The sequence below is a fragment of the Homo sapiens genome, chromosome 6 (genome assembly GCF_000001405.40).
Source record: "Homo sapiens chromosome 6, GRCh38.p14 Primary Assembly".
NCBI classification, from domain to species: Eukaryota; Metazoa; Chordata; class Mammalia; order Primates; family Hominidae; genus Homo; species Homo sapiens.
In genome coordinates this window covers 75,740,220-75,752,326 of record NC_000006.12, presented here as the reverse complement: position 1 = coordinate 75,752,326, position 12,107 = coordinate 75,740,220, and the positions used below count along the sequence as shown (strand labels likewise).

The 12,107-nt window shown below is 43.7% G+C and overlaps 1 protein-coding gene and 1 pseudogene across 15 annotated transcripts in view, besides 3 other annotated features; both read right to left on the bottom strand.

Annotated features, from left to right (window-relative positions):
* The window catches only part of MYO6 (myosin VI), a 170,299-nt gene extending 167,211 nt beyond the window's left edge, over positions 1–3,088 (bottom strand). For all 15 annotated transcript variants that reach the window (NR_160538.1, NR_160539.1, NM_001368865.1 and 12 more), the window contains exon 1: positions 2,904–3,088. The gene's annotated coding sequence lies outside the window, so the exon portion shown is untranslated. The remainder of the gene's footprint in view (positions 1–2,903) is intronic.
* Positions 3,112–3,281: a silencer, noted in NCBI's record as "silent region_17342". NCBI's record gives its function as "represses an Ori minimal core promoter by ATAC-STARR-seq in GM12878 lymphoblastoid cells {active_cell/tissue: GM12878}" and the evidence as "EXISTENCE:reporter gene assay evidence [ECO:0000049][PMID:35858748]".
* Positions 3,432–3,521: an enhancer, noted in NCBI's record as "active region_24761". NCBI's record gives its function as "activates an Ori minimal core promoter by ATAC-STARR-seq in GM12878 lymphoblastoid cells {active_cell/tissue: GM12878}" and the evidence as "EXISTENCE:reporter gene assay evidence [ECO:0000049][PMID:35858748]".
* Positions 3,542–3,651: an enhancer, noted in NCBI's record as "active region_24760". NCBI's record gives its function as "activates an Ori minimal core promoter by ATAC-STARR-seq in GM12878 lymphoblastoid cells {active_cell/tissue: GM12878}" and the evidence as "EXISTENCE:reporter gene assay evidence [ECO:0000049][PMID:35858748]".
* Positions 7,456–10,415, bottom strand: LOC124901230 (oocyte-secreted protein 4B-like; annotated as a pseudogene).
* Between the last annotated feature and the right edge of the window lie 1,692 nt (positions 10,416–12,107).

Sequence of the window (12,107 nt, the reverse complement as noted above, 5' to 3'; positions counted from 1 at the left end):
GTTCACAAATTATTATGAAATATCTCATTATGGGTATCATAATTAAACTCTATGAAACTGCAATCCCAGCACTTTGGGAGGCCAAGGCAGGCAAATCACTTGAGCTCAGGAGTTTGAGACCAGCCTGGCCAACATGGTGAAACCCCATCTCTAATAATAATAAAAAATTGGCCAGGTGTGGTGGCGGGCACCTGTAATCTCAGCTACTCAGGAGGCTGAGGCAGGAGAATCACTTGAACCCAGGAGACGGAGGTTGCAGTGACCCAAGATCGTGCCACTGCACAGCCTGGATGACAGGGCAAGACTCCATCTCAGAGAAAAAAAAAAAAAAGAATAAATAAACTCTGAGATTTATTTAAGTTATAACACTTCCCAATATTTTTAGATATTTTAATATATAAAAATGAAACTACACAGAGGTTAGTAAACTCTTCTTAAAACTGGTATTTTACATGTCAAAAATGGAGTCTCAACTATCAACAGAAAGTTAAAATGGGTTTTTTTCAATGTTTGGATGTTTGCATTTGTTCAAGCCTCACATGGTCAAAGTCTTTAAAACTTTCTAAAGAAAGCTACATTTTGGAACCCAGATACAGCCCAGTTGTCTAAACAATGGGCTACATGATACACCACAGACTCCAGGCAAAGTCACAACAGGATGAGAACAGAGCCTTCAGCCTCTCTCAGATTTCCTGGCCACTGTTATTTTAAAACTTGACCACGTAAACATAAACAGGGAAAAATCCATTTCAGATAATCCCTACTGGTTATGATTTACGATCTTTTGTTTTTAATGCAATATTTAATTGCATTAATTTACATTAAATATTGTAATTGTTCATAACATTTTTCTTGCTCATGTTTCTAGGCACTAACCAAGAATATATATGTATATCATATATAGTTTTATATATTATACAGTTTTTAATCATGATCTTTCCTTAAATGTCATTCATACTTCTGTTACATTTACAATGGTTTCTGAAAACAAAAATGTAACTTACAAAGATGAGAGAATGATAAACAGCATGTCACACAAAAAATACAAAAATAATGGGCAAATGTACATAAGACTAAAATGACTTCTGTTTACCAAAGTGGATGCAATTCCTGCGTAACGTAAAATACTCAAAATGAGCTGTATATATAAAAGTCTGTGAGCTATTTTGAACGGCAGCATGGTTTCAAGCTCTGGCTATAGCCCACTTTGTAACATTTGTGGCGGTTTCTACAATTAAGGAAAAAAGGCACAAAGGTAATTTTTTCACTAAACATTCTCCAGTTTGAAAACCACAACCCAAGACATCTAGGAAGTTCAGTTAATTTGTACAGAAATGCTGTTTTGCCGCCAACCTTTGTACCATGACCACTACCAGTCCAAGTTCAAGATTCACGTTTTATGGTGTGAAGATAAGTTTCAGCTAAATCTTAAGAATGTTAATTTTCAGGCCAGGCGCGGGGGCTCAAGCCTGTAATCCTAGCACTTTGGGAGGCCGAGGCGAGTGGATCACCTGAGGTCAGGAGTTCGAGACCAGCCTGGCCAACATGGCGAATCCCCGTCTCTGCTAAAAATACAAAAATTAGCTGGGCAGTGGCGCGCCCTTACTGTAGTCCCAGCCACTCGGGCGGCTGAGGGAGGTCAATCGTTCGAACCTGGGAGGTGGAGGTTGCAGTGAGCTGACAGAGCGAGGCTCTGTCTCAAAAAAAAAAAAGTTAATTTTTAAAACTCTCAAGTTCTGACTTTATTTAGATAGACTGCATCTATACCACCAGAGCATTAAAAAAAAAAAAAAAATGAGGCTTATTTAGCCCGTACAGTTAAGTCTATTAAGTTAGGGCAGTGCTCCTCATTTCTCACTAATACTTGTAAATCAGGATTTAAGCATCCCTCCACCACATCACTTTATGCCAGGTAAGATGTAAAGAATATTTGGCCAGGCGCAGTGGCTCACGCCTGTAATCCCAGCACTTTGGGAGACCGAGGCGGATGGATCAAGAGGTCAGGATTTCAAGACCTGCCTGGCCAAGATGGTGAAACCCCGTCTCTACTAAAAATACAAAAAAATTAGCCAGGCGTGGTGGTGGGCGCTTGTAATCCCAGCTACTCGGGAGGCTGTGGCAGAGAATTGCTTGAACCCGCGAGGGGGAGGGTGCAGTGAGAGGAAATCGCACCACCGCACTCCAGCCTGGGCGACAGACCAAGGCTCCGTCTCAAAAAAAAAAAAAAAAGGTAATGAATTTTTTAAACTGTATGGAAATACTTTTAAACACGGATGTTCTAGCAATAACCCCATCAAATTGTGTCCTACTTAAAATTAAAATCCCAGAGTTTAAGCATTTTAATCGTTTTAGGGAGTTTTTGGAAATTAACAAAAAAAGTTCTTGTTCAGTAGCATATCCGTAAATTAACATACTCAAGGTACTGGACCACCTGGAGACTAAGAATAAGGCTTTAGAAAGTCTCGATCTGGTCTCCTACATGATTAGACTATTAATGGTATCATTTGATCTTCACATCTCAGAGCAAACTGCGCTCCCCCTGCACTGAATTTTAAGCGTGTTTACAAAAGAGAAAATAAAACTATCACGGAGTGTCCAAGTCCGAGTTAGGCACCTGAGTGCTCTGCTTCTACCTGGGAGCCAGGGAAGAAACACAAAGGGACCTTGGTGATGAGAACCCATGAAAGGAGACTGATTGTCTTTCGGTGGAAACGAGAACCACCGCCGGCCCCACTGCTGCCCAGGGCCCACCCATCCATCACCTGCTTCTCCCACCCGCGTCCTCGGGCAGTGAACAGAAGCGTCGGCCCCGGAGCTGCTCGAGGAGGCCCGGGAGCAAGGCCGGGCCAGGGAACGCGAGACCCCGGCGCCGACGCCCCGCAGTGGGTCTCTGGGACACTCACCGGTGCGGGAGCGAAGGCAGGTGCGCGGCGGCGGGGCTACCTGTACGGGTGAAGCTGGAGGGCGCGGTGAGAAGTGATGAGGGCCAGTGAAGAGGGCGACGACGCGGACGGGCACCAGGACAGGGCGGCGACAGCGGCCGGGCTGAGGCTGGCTTCCTGCTCGGACAGATCCCGAGTCGGTCTCCGCCCGCCGGCCGGCGCCCCGCCGAGTCCCCGGCACTGCGGCGTGCACGTCACGGCTACGGAGCGCCCGAAGGGGCGGGGGCGCCGGGGCCGCGGCAGGCCGTCGGGCGCGCGCTCCGGGAGGGAGGGCGCGCTCCGGGAGAGGGCGCGCGACCCCCGGGGTCGCCCCGCCCGCGGCGCAGAGCCTCTGGGGCGAGGGTAGGCGCCCTGCAGCGCAGAGAGGGGCTGCCCCTGGACAAGCCGGGAGTTCTTGTTCTTCCCATGGCGAAACGGCCTCTTTTGCCGCGGTAGTTGTTTCCAGTCCCGGCAAAGCAGGTCCTGTCCGGCTGGATACTGTGACTGTGCAGTCTACCAACAGCGAGAATCAGTTCAAGCAGGGAGAAAGTTGTTCGGAGAAGGGGCGAGGAGTCCGGGGCTCCGCGCGGGGGACCCAGGAACCAGGTGTCCGCGCTTGGGCGGCAGCGAGGCTGCGTGGCGGTTGCGGCAAGAACCACTGCTCACTCGGCCCCGGATCGGGCCGGCTTGGACTGGGCTGCCCTGCATAGGGGGGAACCTTCCCGCACAACTAAGTTGCCATTCGGTCTTTGGAGGAGGGGGCTTGGGATGGGAATTTCGCACCCCTTTGCCTCTTCCCGCTCCTACCCTCGCCGACGCATTTACTTTATTTAGAGCCCCTACCTTCTCAGTCGTTTAAATGTTACTGTTTTTATTAGTGACATACCTGTGAGTCACCTTTTAAAATATGAAGTACCTATGCAAATTTGAATTATATGGTAAAAACACATCACCTTTACAATGAAAACAGCTTCTTTTAAGGCAACGAAATAACAATTGACTATAATGCTAAATGTATCCGCTGAAAAAAGCCTACTTGCACATGAGAATTACACGTTTTTCTGCAACATTTATATGTAGCGACTTGGAAACTTCTGGAAATCTAGAAGATTCTGACGAGGAGACAAATTTCTGATACTTAAAGACTCCATGGTTCTGTGGGTGGAGAAATAAAAACTCTAAGTTCTGATAAGATGTTTTAGAATTCAACTAAAACAATAAAATATTAAGAGTAAAATAGGGAAGTAAGAAAGAGGAAGAGAAACAAAGAAAGGAAATAATTTACAGCAATCTCAGAAATTTAATTCCAAATTGCCAGAAGGTAAGTCTTAAGTATATAAAACTAAATTTCAAAACAAACTGAAAAAAAGAGGGAGAAGATGAAGATGGCTGTCTCAGTTCACACTGCTCTGACTCAATTTTGGATTTAATACTAAACTTCATTTGGCAAACCAATAGAAGTCAATACATTTTTTTAATTTTCTTAATTTTTTTGTTGTTGGTAAACACAGGGGCTTGCTATGTTGCCCAGGCTGGTCTTGAACTCTTGGCCTCAAGCAATCCCTGCCCGCCCCCCTCCCTTGGCCTCCCAAAGTGCTGGGATTACAAGTGTGAGTCACCACACCTAGATAAATCAATACATTTTAAAGATTTTTTTGTAGCTAATGACTTTCGTGATTGTTTTCTCTCCTTTGCCCCACACTTCCAATCCATTACTGAGTGCTTTTGCTTCTGGCTCTATAATATCTCTCTAATGTATCAAATTCCTCTTTATACCCACTACCACTATCTTGTTTCAGGCCACTATCATTTCAAATCTTGCATACTGCCTAAGTCACCTAACCAGTTTCCCAGGCCGCAGTTTTATCCCCTTCTAATCCAGTCTTTACAACGTCATCAGTTTGTCTTTTATGTACTCCACTATTTAAATTTCTGTAATGGCACTCTCTGACTCTTGATATAAAGTCCAAACCACTTAAAATGTCTTGTAAGATCCTTCTTGATTTAGCCACCAGTCACAAACTGGCTGTTTTTGTTTGCCTAACATAATGGGGATTTCCTTTTTTCCTCTTTTTTTTTTTTTTTTTTTTTTTTGAGAAAGAGTCTCCCTCTGTCTCCCAGGGTGGAGTGCACTGGTGTGATCTCGGCTCGCTGCAACCTCTGCTTCCTGGGTTCAAGCGATTCTCCTGCCTCAGCGTCCCAAGTAACTGGGACTATAGGTGTGCACTACCACGCCTGGCTGATTTTTATATTTTTAGTAGAGATTAGTTTTTGCCATGTTGGCCCGGCTGGTCTCGAACTCCTGACCTAAAGTGATCTGCCTGCCTCGGCCTCCCAAAGTGCTGGGATTACAGACGTGAGCCACCACGCCCAGCCCTTTTCTTTTTGAGACAGAGTCTTGCTCTATTGCCCAGGCTGGGGTGCAGTGGTGCAATCATAGTTCACTATAACCTCAACCTCCTAGGCTCAATGAATATTCCCACCTCAGCCTCCTGAGTAGCTAGGACTGTAGGCACATGCCACCATGCCAGGCAGTTTTTTTTTTTTTTTTTTTTATAGAGACAGGGGTCTTCTATATTGCCCAGGCTGATTATGAACTCCTGGACCCAAGCGATCCTCCTGCCTTGGCCTCCCAAAGCACTGGGATTACAGGTGTGAGCCACTGTGCCTGACCATGTTTTTTTCTTCTAATTAAATTTGAATTTGTTTTCATTGGTTATGAGGTCCCCAATTCATTGCGGTCCAAAACTCACAAAGCTGTCTGTTTTAAACCAGACTTCCTCGCACAATGTTACCTGCCTGTCTTTGGAATGACTTGCATCCAGTGTCCTAGCCCTGCTTACCTCTCCAATCTCATTTCTACCCACTGCCTTTCTCTATTTCTTGTCCTTTATATTCAGGTCATTCTGCAGTACTTTTGTGTCCCAGAACAGACGGCTATGCTATTTATTACATTGGAACATTGCCAAGCTAAATCCAATTAATCCTTCAGAACAAAGCCTATTTGTTCCCTCCAAGACGTTTTCCCTAAACCCCCTTGATGCAAATCCTAGGTGCTTTTTGGTGCTCTTTCCCATTTCTCACTTAACACCCATTGCAGATATCTCTTCAAACACACATTTCACTATTGCTACTTAAGTTTACTTATAAGTATCCTCCAACTGGACTGTAAAACTCCTTGAGGTCATAGTGAGGGACTTAATCTTTGTGTCCCTAATGCCAGGCAGAGTGGCTTTCACATGGTAGTCATTCATTAAGCAGTGCCTACCATTAGTATTACTATTGAATAAATGGGACAGATGGATGAACAACTGGCAAGAGAGTTGACACTTGTAAGAAACTGCATGCACTGGCAGGGCACAGTGGCTTATGCCTGTAATCCCAGCACTTTGGGATGCCAAGGTGGGCTGATCGCTTGAGTCCAGAGTTTGAGCATGGTGAAACCCCATCGCTACAAAAAATACAGAAAATTGGCTGGGCTTGTATTCCTAGCTACTCAGGAGGCTGAGGTGGGAGGATTCTTTGAGCCTGGGTTGGGGGGTTGAGGCTGCAGGGAACCATGATCGCACCACTGCACTCCAGCCTGGGTGACAGAGAGAGACCCTGTCTCAAAAAAGAAAAATTGCTTGTGCTGTAGTTAAGCATGGTGGATACAACTCATCTTATTTGTTGCAAAAACTCAACAAGTTATTCCGTATCTCTACAGTCATGCATCACATAACCATAGGGATACATTCCGAGAAATTCATCATTGGATGAGTTTGTCTTTGTGTGAACATCGTAGAATGTACTTACACAAACCTAGATAGTATAACTTACTCTCTGGGCTATATGGTATAGCCTGTTGCTCCTGGACTACAAACATGTACAGCTTATTACTGTAGTGAATACTGTAGAAAACTGTAACAATGGGAAGTATTTGTGTATCTAAACAGAAAAAATACAGTAAAAATATGGTATTGTAATCTATGGGACCACTGTATATGCCATGTTATTGATCAAGTGTCACTATTTGGCACATGACTAAGTTTTTCAGCTTTGCTGTCACTCATTGAATATTTGTAAGACCCTTCCCTGGATCTTCTTGTGCCATCCCAGAAATTTCTAACTGAGATCCACGGATCCTTTATCATAGATAGGAACTCCACAAATCCCCCTGAAATCATATGCAAAATTTTGTGGTTTCATTTCTCCTTTTTTGTGGGAATAGATAACACAGGCGTGTGAGGGTCTCTACACCTTCCCTGGCTGACATCCGCTTTGACAGCTTCAACTGCATCTATGTCACCAACTCCTTTTTTTTATATAGGCAAGCTTTATTGTATATGAACTTGATTTCACATGCAAAGTTAGAATTACAATTTCACCTAAAATTAACTCATTAAAATATATAAACATCACAGTATAGAAAGGTTATCCAAAACTCCAAAAGGTAGTGAAACTGGTAACAGATATTGCTACTCATTTTTGGGCAGATACAACAGTATTAATGAAACTGGTTCCCGGACAAGTATGTACCACTTGTTCCTGTACCTTAAGGAGGAGAGGATGTTATAACACAGGCATTATTGATGCAGCGATTCATGGATAATTGCTCCTTATTAACACTGCTAAAATTAGGTTCACATTTTTTACTTTGTGTGGGAGCTGATGACTCTTGTCCTTTTGTTTTTTGAGGGATATCTTTCAGTGGGTTGACATCAAACCCACTCATTTCAAAATGCATCACAGATGGAAATTTAAGCCTCTTCACAAAGCAAACCACTGTTAAGGTTTGGATAGGTAGTATCCAACTTTGGTGTATAAGTGATCTCCAAGAACATGGCAGCATCGTTTCTTTGGAACATAATTTTCTTGATCCCACAAGAAGTGACAGTATAAGAAAACTCAAAGTTAAATGACAACAGTGAGTTAAATGACAGGACAGTTATCTCCCAGGCGCATGTCCCCAATTCTAATTTCTGTGTTATCAAAGGGCCTTATTTTCATTCTAACAACCAATCATCAGAAACTATTGAAACTATTCAATAGTCAAACCAACTGTTGAAATTATTGCTGGATCGAGTCCAGAAGAATTCCAAAACAATAAAGAAAAGAGGAAGGACTTGCCTAAGAGCACAGAGGTCTTCATCGCTCCAGACTCCAAGACACAACACAGGGACCAGGAAATAGCTGTATGTCACCAACTTTTAAGTGAGGCAGGCTAAACACCCACAGGTCTATCACAGAAACTCATTATATTTTTCTTCCTCACTGCCTCAGATAATCCCCTTGCCACAGACCTATTATGACTATGTATAGTATTACCAGACACTGGTTTCTGGGTTTTAAGTCACCGAGGACTCCTTCCCTTCCTCGACTCTAGTTTTGGAGTCACCAAATCCAGTTCATTCTATATCATAAGGCATTTCCAAGTTGATGCCTTAACTCTTGTTATCCCTTAGTACAGACCATCATCTTATTTTATCCAAACTCTTGACATCGCCTCTGCTCCTTCTAGTTCAGTCTCTCTACCACTCCTAGAGAGTTACCCCTCTCCCCCAAATCTGATTATGTCACCCCCTTTACCAAGTTTTGATTTCTTTGGCCAAGAGTATTTGCTTGACCAAACTTTAGTTAGGCTTGTGAACCTTCTCCTAGGTCCATCTGTGTCCTTCCTTATGAAATCCAGTTTTATCAAGAACTTTGCCAAGTCAGTTTAGCAAGAACCCCCCATCCTCAATATCTGATCCCTTCCCTTAAAAAAAAATAATAAAAGAAAAAGAAAGAAACAGGGTCTTGCTCTGTTACTCTGGCTGGAGTGCAGTGGTGCCGTCATGCCTCAGTGCCGCCTTAACCTTCTGGGCTTAAGTGACCCTCCTGTGTCACCTCACCTTCCCCAGTCACTGGGACTACAGGTGCACGCCACCACACCTGGCTAATTTTATTATTTGTAGACATGAGGTCTCACTATGTTGCCCTGGCTGGTCTTGAACTCCTGGGCTCAAGTGATACTCCTACATCAGCCTCCCAAAGTGCTGGGATTACAGGCGTCAGCCACTGTGCCCAGCCATGTAGTTTTATAATTACATTTTTATATCTGTTTTTCTCTTCAATAACTCTCCAAAATACTGAGCTTTTAAATTTAAAAGAGGCTGGGCGCAGTGGCTCACACCTGTAATCCCAGCACTTTGGGAGGCTGAAGCAGATGGATCACCTGAGGTTAGGAGTTCAAGACCAGCCTGCCCAACATGGCGAAACCCCATCTCTACTAAAAATACAAAAAATTAGCCAGGCCTGGTGGCAGGTGCCTGTAATCTCAGCTACTTGGGAGGCTGAGGCAGGAGAATCGCTTGAACCCGGGAGGAGGAGGTTGCAGTGAGCCAAGATAGCACTACTGCACTCCAGCCTGGGAGACAAAAGAGGGAAATCCATCTCAAAAAAAAAACAAACAATAATTTTTTAAATGGTCTATTATTTTCTTTTTCTTTCTTTTCTTTTCTTTCTTTTCTTTTTTTTTTTTTTTTTTTTTTTTGAGACATGATCTCACTGTGTCACACAGGCTGTAGTGCAGTGGCACCGTCTCAACTCACTGCAGCTTCAACTTCTGGGCTCAGGTGATATCCCTACCTCAGCCTCCTGAGTAGCTGGGACTATGGACTTGTACTACCATGCCTGGCTAATTTATGTGTCTTTTGTAGAGACCAGAGTTTCGCCATGTTGCGCAGGCTGGTCTCAAACTCTTGGGCTTAAGCGATCTTCCTGCCTTGGCCTCCCAATGTGTTGGGACTATAGGTGTGAGCCACAGTGCTCAGCCTTTCCTATTATTTTCTTAGCACATTAGTTGGATTAGTTGGAGAATCCTTCATTCTGAGTCTTAGTGGAGGCAAAGCCCACCTCACACTTTGGAAACTGGTGCAGGCCAAAGTCCTTCTCTTCATGACCTGGCAGCTAGGGTATAGGCATGACATGAAACATAGGCTAAGCCAACTAGATGCTCTCACCTGAAATCTGCAGTTTGGACAGAGATGCAAAGATGACGTGATAGAGAGTGGTGATTCACAATGGTGCACGTGGTTGTAGCAGCCAGGGTCTGCAGCAGTGCCAACAGTGACATCCTAAAGGATGGCCCTATACCTTTTACAAACCTGGTTCTTCACTGTTCCCAGTGATTCTGTGAGCTACATCATATTCTTTCAATACATTCTCTTTCTGGATAAGTTAATCAGAGTTCATTTCTGTTGCCTTCAACCAACAACCCCAGTAGATTTGGAGAAGTTATATTATTATTCCCATTTTACGTAAAAGGAATGAGTAGGTGCTTAAGTGTTTATTTAATAAATAAGTAAGCGAGATATCTACAATTCAGCAGCTTTTAACAGTTTTGTTTTTCTCAGTTATTAACAAATCTGCGCTAATGTTTATCATCTGGAATGTATAGGGAATTAAGCAGGTTCCCTACACTATATCTTAACTCATACCCACACACCATCAACATCTGCATCTACCGTACATTATCATGAAAAAAACCCTAATGTTTAGTGTAGTAATTGTGAAAATCATAAATCTTTTTTTTTTTTTGAGATGGAGTCTCACTCTGTTGCCCAGTCTGGAGTGCAGTGGCACAATCTTGGCTCACTGCAAGCTCGGCCTCTGGGTTCCCACCATTCTCCTGCCTCAGCCTCCCGAGTAGCTGAGACCACAGGTGCCCGCCACCACACCTGGCTAATTTTTTGTATTTTTAATAGAGACGGGGTTTCACTGTATTAGCCAGGATGGTCTCAATCTCCTGACCTTGTGATCCACCCGCCTCAGCCTCCCAAAGTGCTGGGATTACAGGCGTGAGCCACCAAGCCCAGCAAATCTTTTCTTTTTTTTTTTTTTTTGAGATAGAGTCTCGCTCTGTCACCCAAGCTGGAGTGCAGTGGTGCAATCTCAGCTCACTGTAACCTCTAACTCCCGGGTTCAAGCTATTCCACCTCAGGCTCCCGAGTAGCTGGGATTACAGGTACATGCCATCACGCCTGGCTAATTTTTGTATTTTTTAGTAGAGATGGGGTCTTACCATGTTGCCCACGCTGGTCTCGAACTCCTGGCCTCAAGTGATCCACCCACCTCGGCCTCCCAAAGCGCTGGGATTACTGGCATGAGCCACTGTGCCTGTCCCATAAATCATTTCTTTAAAAAGACTGAATAATGTTTATTGTCCTGAATTTACTCTAAAAAGAAAGTAGGCTGGCCGGGCGTGGTGGCTCATGCCTGCAATCCCAGCACTTTGGGAGGCCAAGGTGGGCGGATCACTTGAGGTCAGGAGTTTGAGACCAGCCTGGCCAACATGATGAAACCCCATCTCTACTAAAAATACAACAATTAGCTGGACGTGGTGGTGGGCGCCTGTAATCCCAGCTACTCAGGAGGCTGAGGCAGGAGAATCATTTGAACCCAGGAGGTGGAGGTTGCAGTGAGCCGAGATCACGCCATTTCACTCCAGCCTGGGCAACAAGAACAAAACTCCATCTCAAAAAAAAAAAGAAAAAAGAAAGTAGGCTAATGTATTTTAGAAAGACTTTCAATATAAACGACTAAAATTAAAGCAGAAATGTGTTTTATCAATAGATAATTTTTAAACCTTTCTTAACCAGATTACCACACATCTCTTAACATTCCAGCTTCTGGAGATTTCACTATCATTTCTCTAATTTTAATTCCTAGCTGGGCCAAGTGGATGACTAATGGCTGTAATCCCAGCACTTAGGGACTCTTAGGATCACTTCAGCCCAGGAGTTCAAGACCAGTCTGGGCAACATAGAAAGACCCTATCTCTATAAAAAATAAAATATTAAAAAATAAATTTAAACAGCTAGTCTGTTTGAACTGTTCCAGCAGCATTATAATTCACAGTAAACTGAAAACAATAGCACATATAACTAAAGATTATCACCTCAAGTATCTTAATTGAAATGTCAAATATTTTAATAATAATATTTCATCTACTTTGTCCTATTTTAGCTCAAGTGTGGTAATTTGAAGAAAAGAGGAGAGTTGATCATTTTTTTTCAAACTGAGCCAAGTGTAACCTAAACAGGTTGTAGAAATGAAAAGAAAGCAAATGAGTGAAGGCCTGATATGGTTTGGCTGTTTCCCCACCCAAATCTCATTTTGAATTCCCACGTGGTGTGGGACGGACCAGGTGGGAGGTAACTGAAT